At 38.9% G+C, this 14164-nt stretch overlaps 1 pseudogene; it reads right to left on the bottom strand.

Moving 5' to 3' along the window:
• Positions 12797–13194, bottom strand: RPL31P32 (ribosomal protein L31 pseudogene 32; annotated as a pseudogene).

Raw genomic sequence — 14164 nt, 5'->3', positions numbered from 1 at the left:
GCCCCTGACTAGGAAGAGACCCATGACTGAGAGGAGGCAGCAGATGAGGTTGGAGAGAATGATCAGGAAGGGAGTCAAGTAGGCCCATTAGAAGCAGAGGAAAAGGAATGATGATGGGTGTTTAGAGCCTGGAGATTTGCATGCATGGTGAGGCAAGACATACTTAGGATCACTGCTCCCCTGCTTCCATCGATGATGCTACAAGAATCTCTAGATATGATTGTACTTTAGTTTGGTAATCTGGTTCTTTGTTCGTGTCTCTTATCCTCAGGAAACAAGGACAGCAGTTTTCCTACTTAAACCAAGAAGAACTGACTTTATGAATAAACTTAGTGTTGAATCCTTGGGGGACCCAGATTGACAAGACAAGCTTAAGTGGAGGAGCTACCAGAATCAAGTTCCATGTACCAAGGGTAAAAATCAATCTTCTTGTTCAAGGATAAAGGACTGCAATAGCTTTTTAACAGCTCTCTGGACTTCAGATAACTAGTCAATATTCAGATAAGCTAAGTGATAGTTAATCAAAAACACACATTGAATTTATCTTGAAGTTCATGGGTTTTAAGATGACAGAGATTAGTTATCATAAGTTTGAGGAAGTTCAGCAAATGCTCCTGGGGTTGAGTTTGTAGGCATAGAAATTCTTTAGGTAAGAGTTCAGATGACTCAGAAGACTCTGCATCTGATCATTCATTGTTTACAAGCCCTTCTCAGTGGCATTAAAAAAGTGGTCCTTTCATAAGAGTTTCAAAACAAAGCCAAGATGGGCAATTCTTAAGAGAATAAATTTTGGAACAAAAAACATTGTTTTTGAAGTAAAATATAAAATTAAGACAACAGAAGAATCATTTGATCTATTCTTATATGAGATGTTCTTCATTTTCTCCCAGTGATACCCTCTTCTTAGTGCCTGAGACACACACAGCCAGGAAGGAGTCCTCCTATCCACAGGTGATTAGATTGGGGTGGGCAAGAGACTCAAGATGGACCAATCAGATCTTGTCACCTGGAGGAATATAGAACCAGGGCATGGAGACTGTATCAGTTCACTCTGAGTATCTAAGGCATCATGCTGCCCTTACTATATGAATGACTAAGTTGAGAAGCTGGTCTATGGAGAGAAGAGAATGAAATATATGTGCAGAGAGAAGCAGTCATAAGAGAACACTTGGTCCCAGAGAGAGGGGGAAAGGAAGGGCAAAGGTGCCTGGTGACTTTCTGGGTTCCCTAAGGCCAGCTCTGGTTCCTCTGTTTGGCCTCTTTGAGATTCCCTTGTGCGTGTCTTCATGATGAACTCGTTTTATTCATGCTGGCTTGAGTGGGTTTCAGTTTCTCACACTCCCAAAGTGATCCCCAAATAGTTCAGTTCTCTGCTCACCACCTAGTGCCAGCCCCTCCAGGGCAAATGGTGATCTCCATTTTAAAAGCTTTTCAGGGATGGGGATTCCAACTCTCATAAAACCCTATTCCAGTGTTTAGAAACCTTTAATTAGAGTCTTTCTTATTCCACACCAAACTTTTACAGAAATGATAGTCCATTTTTCTTTCTTTTTTTTTTGTCCAGTGAGATAGGTAACAATTTTATTTCTTACTCTAAGACTTTAGATCTTTTATTAGTATTTCTTACTAATGAACTTACCTCATTATAAGAATCCGATAGGAGGTGTGTGTTAAAAATTCAGATTCCCTGTCTACTCTGGATCTGATCCAGAGATCTAGGGTGGAGCTGGGAATCCGTATTTTTAACAAGCACCCCTAGCGATTTATATAATCAGGGAAGTTGAGAAAGACTGTATTTAACAATAGTTAACAAGTTACCCCTTGTGATTTACTGTCTCCAAAAAAATGTGTCACTTCTAATTGCCTCCCCACCTATGTCTACAAGTTTAAACTTCATTCTTTCCAAGGCTCAGAACAAATGCCAGTGTTTTCATGATCCCACAGCTGGGGAAATCTCATCCTCTATTTTGAGTTTGAGAAAGTGGTGACTGAGCAGCACTTGGTACAGGGCAATCTAACTTTGACCTTTGTCTCTGGCTTCCTTATGGAATTTGTTCTATTTTTTTCTATTATGGTTATTCAGTGACTTGTCTGGTATTCCCTGTCAGACTGCACACCCATCCACACAGGAATTCTTTGGAGCATGCCACAGGGGGCTATGGAAGGAATAGGTTCATGCAGGATGTGTGTAGGGCCTTTTGGTGATCTACCCTGGAGGCCGTCTTGCTGTAGCTCAGGGGTTATAGGAGAACCCACCCTGTTGAGAACAACTGTGGAATTCTCTAGAGCCAAATCCAAAGAGGACTTATCTCTCAATGTGTGTCCCCCACCCTACCCCATTGAGAGTGGCACAACAATTTAAGGCCTTTATTAAGAAAAGGTCTACCAGGGTGAGTGGGGGAAGAAGCTGACTTTGGGGGAAATGCAGTTTGTCAAGTGGCAATGGTATCTTCTTCCTCTTTTTGCCTTGGGGAAGAGAAGGTATTTGTTTTGTTCCTTCTACTTTCTACAAGATTGAGGGGTTTAGTCTTTTCTCTCCATAGTTAGAAACACAGTTTATTCTCTGAAAGTTACTATGCTCCTAAACCTGAAACCATCAGAATGTGCAGCACTGCCCATGAGGGGAAGGAGCTAGAGAGAGATGGCGGAAGAAAGAGGGTGCTGGTGTGGGGCAGGAGGCAGTCTGCTTTCCCATTGTCTGACTTGACCAAGGGATAGGGTGTTCCCTGTGGTCAAGGGAAGACTGCCAATGGGGGCAGGGCTTAAGTTATCTTGCTAGGAGCCTCCAAGTGTGATGTCTATTTGGGTGAGGGGACCTAAGCCATAAAAAGGTGTGGATGGGCCATCGTTTTAGTGGATAAGGGTTTTTAGTGGATAAGGGTGGGGAGGAAGAGGCAGAGCCTCTGAACCTCAGTGGCTTTCCATGTGGTAGGTACTATGCAGGAAGAGGTCCCTGAGTGATATGGTTTGGCTGTGTCCCTACCCAAATCTTATCTTGAATTCCCACGTGTTGTGGGAGGGACTGGGTGGGAGGTAATTGAATCATGGGGGGCAGGTCTTTCCCGTGCTGTTCTCATGATATTAAGTCTCATAAGATCTGATGGTTTTAAAAAGGGGAGTTTCCACAATGAGATACCATCTCACACCAGTTAGAATGGCAATCATTAAAAAGGATCCGGAAACAACAGGTGCTGGAGAGGATGTGGAGAAATAGGAACACTTTCACACTGCTGGTGGGACTGTAAACTAGTTCAACCATTGTGGAAGACAGTGTGGCGATTCCTCAAGGATCTAGAACTAGAGATACCATTTGACCCAGCCATCCCATTACTGGGTATATACCCAAAGGATTATAAATCATGCTGCTCTAAAGACACATGCACACGTATGTTTATTGCAGCACTATTCACAATAGCAAAGACTTGGAACCAACCCAAATGTCCATCAATAATAGACTGGATTAAGAAAATGTGGCACATATACACCATGGAATACTATGCAGCCATAACAAAGGATGAGAATGAGTTCATGTCCTTTGTAGGGATATGGATGAAGCTGGAAACCACCATTCTCAGCAAACTATCGCAAGGACAGAAAACCAAACACCATATGTTCTCACTCATAGGTGGGAATTGAACAATGAGAACACTTGGACACAGGGTGGGGAACATCACACACCGGGGCCTGTCATGAGGTTGGGGGAGGGGGGAGAGATAGCATTAGGAGATATATCTAATGTAAATGATGAGTTAATGGGTACAGGAAACCAACATGGCACATGTATACATATGTAACAAATCTGCACATTGTGCACATGTACCCTATAACTTAAAGTATAATAAAAATAAATAAATAAACAAATAAATAAAAATAAAAAGGTAAAAAGAAAAAAAAAAAAGGGGAGTTTCCTTGCACAAGCTCTCTTCTCTTGTCCTCTGCCATGTGAGACATGCCTTTCACCTTCCACTGTGATTGTGAGGCCTCTCCAGCCACATAGAACTGTAAGTCCATTAAACCTCTTTGTTTTGTAAATTGCCCAGTCTCAGGTAAGTCTTTATCAGCAGTGTGAAAATGGACTAATACACTGAGCATCCTCTGGAAGATAGCAAATGTATCCCCTTGAGACAGGCAGTATTTGGGTTCCTGCCACAGGGAGAGGAACAGCAACAAAGAACAGACAAAGGGATAGTGGACTTGCCACCCATGACTTATGGCCACTGAAGCACCCACTGCTTCACCACTGATACATTTGTGAGGAGCATGTGTTTGTCCGGGGGTGGTAAAGAAGAATGAAAGGAGGGAGTAAGAGGGCGGAGTGGGACAGCAGACCTTGCCCCACCTTTGCAACCCAGGCAGTTTGAACCAACAGCTCAGCTAAAGGTGAAGAAAAAAGAAAAAGAAAGCTTTGCACAGGGCATAAGATAGCTTTAATCACCAAAAAAGATGAAAAAAATAATGGGACTCAAATTGAGATTTTGTTAAGGGAGGTGGCTACCCAGCAGAAAGGGATTTTGAAAGGGGAGATTAGTAGCCATTATTTAGAAAATTAAAATGATTCCATGCTTATACTTCTTATACCAACATATGTAATGAATAGATTCTCTATTCAATTTCATTATATCATTTTTCAAATATGAACCCTAGACTAACCTCTGTACTTGAATAAAGGTAAGACCAGGACTGTTATAATGGAAAGAATACTTGCCAGCTCCTGCACAACAATATCATGTTGCCTTTCTAACAGTGCCTTTATAAAGATGATGTATAGATGCACTAAGCTATCCATTATCATGCCCATTTTTTACATTATTTGTAATTTTCTCCCTAAGTTCTATTTTGTGCAAGTGCTTTTATGGTTTTATTGAGGTATAATCAACATATAATGGATTATATATATTTAATATGTAGTGTTTTATAAGTTTCAACATATGTATGAAACAATGAAACCATAAACACAATTAAGATAATGAACATATCCACCACTCCCAAAAGTGTCCTCATGTTCTTTTATTTTTATTTACTTATTTTATTTTATTTTATTTTTTTGAGACAGGGTCTTGCTCTGTTGCTCAGGCTGAAGGGCAGTGGCATGATCATGGCTCACTGCAGCCTCGACCTCCTTGAGCTCAAGCCATTCTCCTGAGTAGCTGAGACTGCAGGTATGCAAAAATTAGCATACCCAGCTAATATTTTGTAGAGATGAGGTCTTACTGTGTTGCCTAGGCTTTTCTTAAACCCCTGAGTTCAAGTAATCCTCTAGCCTTGGCATCCCAAGTTGTTGGGATTATAGGCATGAGACACCACCATGCCTGGGACCTCATGTCCTTTTTTATCTCTTTCTCCTGCTGCCTCTTCCTATCCTCCTCATGCCCCCACTCCCCCAACTGTGAAATCCTCAGGCAACTTCTGATATGCTCGCTGTCATTTTTTGGATTAGTTTACATTTCCTAGAATTTTATGTAAATGGAATTATTCAATATGAATTCCTTTTTTTCTGTCTCCTTTCACTTAGCAGAATTATTTGCAATTCATCAGAGTTGTACTGTGTATCAATGGTTCACTCTTTTATATTGCTAAATAGTGTTCCATTGTATGTATATACCACAATTTCTTTATTCATTCACCTGTTAATGGATAGTTGGGTTGTTTACAGTTTTTGGCTGTTATGAATAAAGTTGCTATAGACATTTGTTTACAAATCTTTGTATGAACATATGCTTTTCTTTTTCTTGGGTAAATCTGTAAGAAGTAGAATGGATGGATCATATTGTTACTGGAAAGGGGTCCCAATCTAGACCCCAAGAGAAAGTTCTTAAACCTCACATAAGAAATAATTTTGGGCATGTCCTTAGGGTAAATTGAAAGCAAGTTTATTCAGAAAGTGAAGGAATGAAACAATGGTTACTCTATAGGCAGAGCAGTGGCGTGGGCTGCTCAGCTGATTATACTTGTAGTTATTTCTTGATTATAAGTTAAACAAGGGGTGAGTTATTTATGAATTTTCTGGGAAAGGGGTGGGCAATTGAGGGTTTCTCCCCTTTTTAGAGCATATTGGGTAACTTCTGAATGTTGCTGTTTCATTTGTAAACTGCTGCCATGTAAGATGTGCCTTTGCTTCTTCTTTGCCTTTTGCCATGATTGTGAGGCCTCCCCAGCCATGGGGAACAGTGAGTCCATTAAATCTCTTTCCTTTATAATTACCCAGTCTCCAGTATGTCTTTATTAGCAGTGTGAGAACAGACTTATACATCAGGTGTAAAATTTTCCACTGTGGCATCATGTTGGTGCTTAAAAACTTTCAGATTTTGGAGCATTTTGGATTTCAGATTCTTATATCACTAATTCTGACCTGTATAATTCTTCCCCTGGACAACCCAAGCATTTTACTTAACTTTCCATTAATGTATCTATCTCTTAGGCTCCCTAACCCAAAGACTCATCTACACTAAACACCTATAAAAAGTGGCATAAATGAGTACATTTTCAGATATAGCTTGACTATTAAATACCCCCTGAACTTCTTCTAGATATTAGTCAAATTGATTTTATTTTTTGTAGCATTTTTCTCTTTTATTTTTATTGAAGGAAGCACATGATTACTTTTTCTGCTTTATCACTCTTTTGGGTCCTCTGCTGAATTCAGAGCTCTTCCCCTGACTTCTTCTCACCAGGTTTGGATACAGCTCCCATTCCATCATGAGGAATTCACCACCCTACGAGGCTTTTATAGTTCAGGTTGTCATAAATCTTTTATTTATAGCTCACAATCACTCTTCCTGGGTGTCTTGCTTCCAGCACCACATATGTTTTAGAACAAAGTTTACTCATATGATTTTCAATTATAATTTAACATGCTTCCCTTTGTATTTCCTGCCTGGCTATTTTCCATAAGATTTCCAATTCTTATCTCTCTCTTCCTTGACATATTAGCTCTGTTAGAAAGGCTTAGTCTTATTGACTTTGTAAAACAATTAGAGTCATGATTCTTCTATGCATCTGTCCACTATCTTGCTACAAAGATGCCGAGTTTCTTGACTTACCAATTTGTCAATATGAAATTGTAAAATATATTATATGAGCCCTCTCTGTGGCCCCTTTAGAAAATTTGGATATTTGAAAGTATCTTTTTGTATTCATCTTAAATCTGATCTTAACAGTCCTAGAAGATTCTAATTTTGAAAAGTGTATATGTGTATATATATATGTGTATATGTGTATATATATATATGTATATATGTATATGTGTATATATATATGTATATATGTATATATGTATGTATATATATATGTATATATGTGTATATATTCACCCCCAATGCATTCTTAAAAGAAATGTCTTTAGCCGATTCATGAATATTCACAATTTTATTCAATGATAAATCTGGTATTTGACAACTGTTAAGCCAGCATGCTTTGGACTCTTCTTCTACCTACTTTTCCTGCAGTCACTATGGTGATTATACTAACTGTGAAGAGAGAAGTTTGGATCGATTTGAAGTAACATGTGAAAATGTGGTTGAGGTTCCTTACAGTCTCTAGTGGAAATCTGTCCACATCAGAGAACCTCTGCATGAGGTGGCATGATTGGTTTTATGTGTTCCAGGGATGCCTAGTATTTGACAAGCTGGGAATGTTTCGGATTAAAATGGAAGCATATTGGCAGAGTGATGTGGGGAAGCTTGCATAATGTATAATGCCTGTCAGCACCCTGCCTTGATCGAGCTGGTGCTTACAAGTCCCTCAATTTAATGAGTCCAATATACACCTATGAGTTTTTATAAGCTAACACCAAAGCAAGTTAGAAAAAGTTGAAACACATATGTTTTTTGACCAACTGTGATATTTTCAGGTACTCACCCATGAGGCTTTCAAATGCCTATAAAATTTTCTATTGGAAGCAGTTTCTGGAAGCAATAGTGTACTTGGCGTCTAAATTTACACAGCCCCTTGAAGGTGCATCACCTTCATGATCCAAAGATCTCCCTGGTAGCAATTCCTTTCTTCTTCATTCTTCTATAGTTTTGCACTTATATATTTTGGCCAGAAACTCAAATTTTTTGCTTACTCTAATGCCCTTTGATCCATAGAGTTATTCAAATTTTAAAAAGCCTTGAAACTACCAAAAGGGTTACTAAATGGTATAGTTGGGGGAGGAGAGAGGTGATTGTAATGGAATTATCTGAATAATAAAGACTTGATAATAAATCTATTTTATTTCCTACCTTGTTGATGAAAATTTTGGAACTTTTTTTTTAACCTTATTAATTTCAATATAGGAAGCATAATATAACTTTTCTCTAATGACTGAGAATGCTATTGTGCCCGAGGCTTACAGTTTTGGACATTGACTGTCATTGGGAATAGTTCCTTGCATACAATAGATGCTCAGTAAATATTTACTGGAAAAACAATGAATGCATTGCACAGTACTACCATTCCAGAAATGAGAGAGAAGGACTTAAGTCTTCATTGACCCCAGGGATACATTGCCTATTTTTCTATAAAAGATTGTCTTTTACTCTTTATTTTCTAAATTATTTTGTAAAAAGTGGAACACAAGATCATTCAACTGTTAAGTTTAGATGGGTTCTGATTAACTGAGCCTTAACAAAAGATTTTTAAAAATTTTGTCTTTTGTAGAGAGAATGTTGAAAAACACTGACAGTATTAGTAAGAAACAGGTTTGCTCAGATGTAGCTTAAGACATTGTAAAGCTGTCTTGAGCATTCAAGAATGTAGTGAGTTTTGTGTGTGCCAAAACCCTTTAGCTTATACCATCCCAACTCTAAGATCAGAAAGTTCAACAATCCACGGAGTCAAAAGGAGCACAGCTGAAGCCAAAAAGTGTGACAGGATGCACAGTATATATTGTATATTGCCCTCTTTTAAGGTTTGCTTTTTCAAAGAAGACATGAAATGAGTATTCCCTAGCCAGATTCTCTACTCTCTTCATTACAACATAATTGGCACTATGGTTTCCCTGACATCTGTACCAAAGATGTTGCTGATTGCTGAACACATGATATTGGCAGTGGTTGTCAGCTGTTCTGGGTTAGTGCAGCTGATGTAATCACCAAAGTTTCATTCACAACAAGCGCTCGTCTTATAAAGCCCCTTAACCACTCAAATATGGATTTGTGCTGTACAGGTCAAAGATCGAGCATGTATGCAGCACGAAGTCCAGAACGTTGTGGTAGATATTTTATTTGCCAACAATGTTTCTTTCAGTTGTGTCCAATAAAAATAGTTTGAGTGGATGAATGGTGTGGAGAGACAAGGTTCTTATACCTAGAGGTCTCTCTGATCTTTCATCTTTCCCCCTGAGATCCCTACTCCACTTTTCATCAAAAGCGCCAGAGACACGCTCCTTCAGGATTGATTCTCATGCTGGTTTCACAGGGATTGATGATGTGTATTTTTCTTGTGTAGCCATGTGGATGGAGTAACTGATCTTCCTTTTTGAGCAGTTAATGAGTGCTTTTCTTTGCCTGGCAGGCTTCTATTTCTCTTTTAAAACTTGGCTCAGACATCTCTGCAAGGGTTATTTCTTGACACCTCCCCCCTACCCCCAACAACTTTGCTTCTGCTCTCATAATATCATGTGTTTATGTCTGTCAAAGCACTCACAACACTGTATTGAAATTTGTGCTGTACATCTGTCATCCTTTCTAAAGCGTAAGCTTCTCTAGGGCAATGACCAGGTCTTAGTCATCTATGTATATCCTGTCCTGAAGCATTGGAGAGCAAAGAAGTATCTTTCTCAAACTGTAGAGTTTGCAGACAACTTTAGCTGGTGCAGGGATTGATTTTAAGTATTACATGGACCCAGCACTCAGTTACATTCAATTGCATATGAGAATGTTATTCCTCTTTATAATTTTTTTCCAATTCTTCTGATAATGACAAGAGGAAATTCTTACTTGGTTCTAACATGTTATTAATGTGTCCCTAACTTTGCTAAGGCTTTATTTTAATTGATCTTGGGGCTTAGAGTCTTTAACAGACAACTGTATCCACCCAGAATGTCATAATATTGTTTGTTTTTCATAGAGTTTATTTATTTTTTGGCTACCTTCTATTTATGGCAAGTGATACTGGTTTTTCTTTATTGTTGTGATATATAATTTCCTGTTAAATTTTAATTTATTTCAATTAAAATGAGTCAGATATTAATAAAAAGATGTAAGATGATACGTGAGGGTGGCTTCCCTATCAGATTATCATGTAGTATGTAACCTTGAGCAAGTTAACAAGCCTCTGTAGACCTCAGTGTTCTTCAGTAGCAGAAGGGAATGGAGTTAATCATCACATTAATGCAAATATATAAGGTCAACCATAAGATTACAAAGAAATCTGTTATGGAAACTTTCTCCTGTTTCTTGAGGATGATATTTACTTTCCTCGCCCATTATCAGTCTTTGTGTGGAAAAGACTGAGAAGTACCAGCAAAATTAAGAGTGTTTTGTTCAAAGCAAGGGCTGTAATAACTGAATAATCATAGAATTTAAATAGTAATACATTATAGGAGCTTTACAAACATTGCCTCTCATCCTTAAAACAAGCAATCATTAACAGACACTCTCAGCCCTACCTCCCTGCCAGACAACACAGAAATTTAGTGGCTTCCTCAGATTTCAGCTCCAATTTCTCTGATTCCAAAACCCACAAACTCTTTGTACTTTGCCACACTTGCATTACAAAGTGAAGCCACGAGGGCCTGAGATTCAGAAATCTGTAATGACAATGCATTTAAACAGGCACATAGTATCTACACAATTGCACATAATAACATCCTTTTTTTAAAGAGAAACTGGTTGGTATCTGAGGGCTCTAGAAACCATCTATTGGAGGGCAAAATCATGTAATAGTTGACCATTCAGTATCTGAAGCTTCACATTGTGTGCATGATCTTTGTGTAGAGGAGGATTGGCTAGAAAGCTTAGCATCTGTGCTTCCCCTTTTGTGTTTTTCATGGTTTTGTAAGAAGTTGGGAATCTTAAATGGTCTTCAAAGTGGAAAGAATAATATTGGTTCAAAAGGGGCAACAAAGATCCCACAATGTTTGGAACGGAGGAAGGTTTCACATCTTTCTTCTGATAGCTGTCAGGGGTAAATACCACTGACTGGCCTCAGAGAATCTACCCAATATGCTTAATTCCTCTCCTGAGCAGAGGATAGCAACACTTCAAAGATTATCCTAATTTTTTTATTTGCAAAAGTTTATTTGCAGAAGTTGTTTTTGCAAAAGTTGAAGAGTAGATAATCCCAACTTTCCATATTCATAGTGCTCACAAGTCGATTAACAAACCAACTCTTAACTCCTTTTCCAGAAAAATGCTTTGCATTAACAAAAGTGGAGATACTTAGATTGATTTGCTCCATTAGCTGGATCCATTACATATACTACTTGATATACTGTTCCCTAGTGGTTTGTATATGCCACTATAGTGAAATTCAAAAAAAATGTTCCAACCTATATTTGTAATATAAAATGTATATTTGGTCTTAGTCCCCATTTCCTGATATACAAGTCTTAAAAAAGCCTTAGAATCTCCAAAGTGATGTATTTTTGTATACTAGTAAGTTGACTGATGGTTGGCAGTCTCTAGGTAACTTCAGGATGGCTTCTAGTCACAGAAAGGAAGGCAGGAATGGAGGTTTGGGACTTTCAGCCCCTCTACCCAACCTCCAGGGAGGGGAGAAGGGCTCAAATTTAACGTGATCACCAATGGCCAGTGATGTAATCAATTATGTCTATGCAATGAAGCCTCCATAAAAACCCAAAAGGACAGGTTTTGGAGAGCTTCCAGGACAGCTGAACATGTAGGGGTTCCTGGAAGGCAGTGCACCGAAGGAGGACATGGAAACTCCAGGCCCCTTGCTCCATACCTTATCCTATGCATTTCTTCATTAGCATTGTTGGTAACAGCCTTTATAATAAACTGGTAAATGTAAGTGTATCTCTCTGGGTTCTGTCAACTGCTCTAGCAAATTAATAAATCCAAAGAGAGGGTTGTGCCACCTCTAATTTATAGACAATTGGTCAGAATTACAGATAAAACAACCTCTTGTGATTGGCATCTAAAAAGCGGGCGGCAGTCTTGGGGACTGAGCCCTCAGCCTGTGGGATCTGACACTATCTCTAGGTAGATAGTGTCAGAATTGAACAGTTAGAGGATACCCAGCTGTGGCCATTGCAGAACTGATTGCTTGCTTGGTGTGTGTGGAAAAACCTACACACATTTGGTCACAGAAGTTGTCTGTGATGATTGTTGTGGTGTGAGAGCAGAGGAAAAACAGTGTGTCTTTTTTCTACTCAAAATGTTATAAGTGCAAATGTCTTAGTCACATTCAAAACTGTCTTTATTTTTCTGACTTCATCTTATCTCCATTTGCCATCCACATTACCATAGAAAATAAAATCTTAGAAAATGTCAGGCAAACATGGTAATTTTAGGTTACAACCCAGTACACTTGAGGCTTTCCTTCTATCTCTTTTTCTTGTCCCAGTCAATGGTGCCATCTTCCAGGGTTCCACACAGGAACTCATGGGCCTGCAAACTTATTGGGGCATTCTATAACTGCACTCACTGGAGCAAAGGGCATGGGGACAGAGCAACAAAGTTGCTGTCTAAGAAGGTGTCATTATGTCTTATTCTTGCTGCCCTGATAATTCTGCTCCAAGGATTCCTTTGTCTTATGGAATTTTTATTGAGTCTGGACAAAAACCTTTTTTTTTTGGTAGTTTTAAAACTTTATTTGATGTATTTGATGATCAGCAGCTGGTTCTTATTCATATTGGCTGTAGATTTTTGAAAGTGGTAACAGGTACATAGATAACCAACGTATAGAGCTTGTTTAGTGAATCTTCATTCTCATTATGTTTTCCAGACAATAACACAGATATGGTATCAGATATTCCTTATTTCTTTGGCCCAGACAGCTTTGTTGAGCCTGGCATCAATGGACACATCTGGAGTGTCCATCTCCTTCATGGCAAATTTCTGGTTCTCTTGGAGTGCCCGAGGGGCATGCTTCTTGAAGCCCACTTCACTGATGCGCTTGTGAATGTCATTGATGGTGTAGTCTTGGGTCACCATCTTTTGATGGCAGAACAGCCCTTCTTCTCACCACCCTTTTTTTGTGGGAGCCATGGTGCCAGGCCTAAGTTGGAAAGGAAGAGCGAGAAGGATTCCCAACAAACTTATTATAACCATATTGCTTGCTTCTGTTATTATTTAAGCTAGGACCCAAACAATGCAATCACAGCTTGAAAGCCTTCCTCACAAGGCCATTGTTTCTTCCAAAGATTCAAAATTGTATTTTGAACCTCAAAACTGAGTTTGGACCAGTTTTGAGTTGGGCATATTGTACTTTATTTTATTATAACCCTTTTATGGCTCATACAGACATTTTATATGTATAATATTCCATGTGTGAAATATTTAAGAAAACCAACCTGAGTAGTGACATTTTGCATTTCTGCAGTAACAGCTTGACTCTGAGGGCATGAAGCTGGAGTATCCCAGCTGCCTGGGCTGGTAGCAGGCACCCTGGGGAACACGGGTGTGCAGGAGATGGAGGCTGTGTATTGTAAATTCTTCAAATCACTATCCTTCCATATATATGAAACTATTCATTTTTATAAGCCTGATGGGACATTAAATATTTTGTTGCTTCTAAATCTCACTGTAATGAAAGCTTATTCCTACAATCTACTGAAGGGTTCAATCAATGTTTTTCTTTTAATGTTTCTATATCCTTCCCTGCATGATAGAGTTGGTAACTATGACAGTCAGATGTGAAAGAGGATAAATACATTCTTAAGTCCTTCATCAGAAACTACACTTAAATAAAACAATTTTAATTGTGCACATTTGTGATATATGTTGTTCTTTTGAGATGAAGGTATATTTTGGAGGGGGGTAGAGTTAGAGGGCTTTATAACTAGTGGAATTTAGGCTAAAACTGTCAAGTAATATTGCAAGTGTCTAGCAGGTGGCAGCTGTTACCCTGGTTCCTGCATGGCAGGCCCTTGAGCACTGGGTAGTGCAGAGGTTCTGGAGTCAGGTGACTTGATTCCACAGCCTACCTTTTCTCTTGATGAGCTTCCTCAGGCCCACTCTGTGCATCAGCATCCTGGTCCATGAGGTGGTAATGATAA

The sequence above is a fragment of the Homo sapiens genome, chromosome 6 (genome assembly GCF_000001405.40).
Source record: "Homo sapiens chromosome 6, GRCh38.p14 Primary Assembly".
Lineage (NCBI taxonomy): Eukaryota > Metazoa > Chordata > Mammalia > Primates > Hominidae > Homo > Homo sapiens.
The sequence above is the reverse complement of the archived record's forward strand: the minus strand, read 5'-3'. Positions and strand labels throughout refer to the sequence as shown.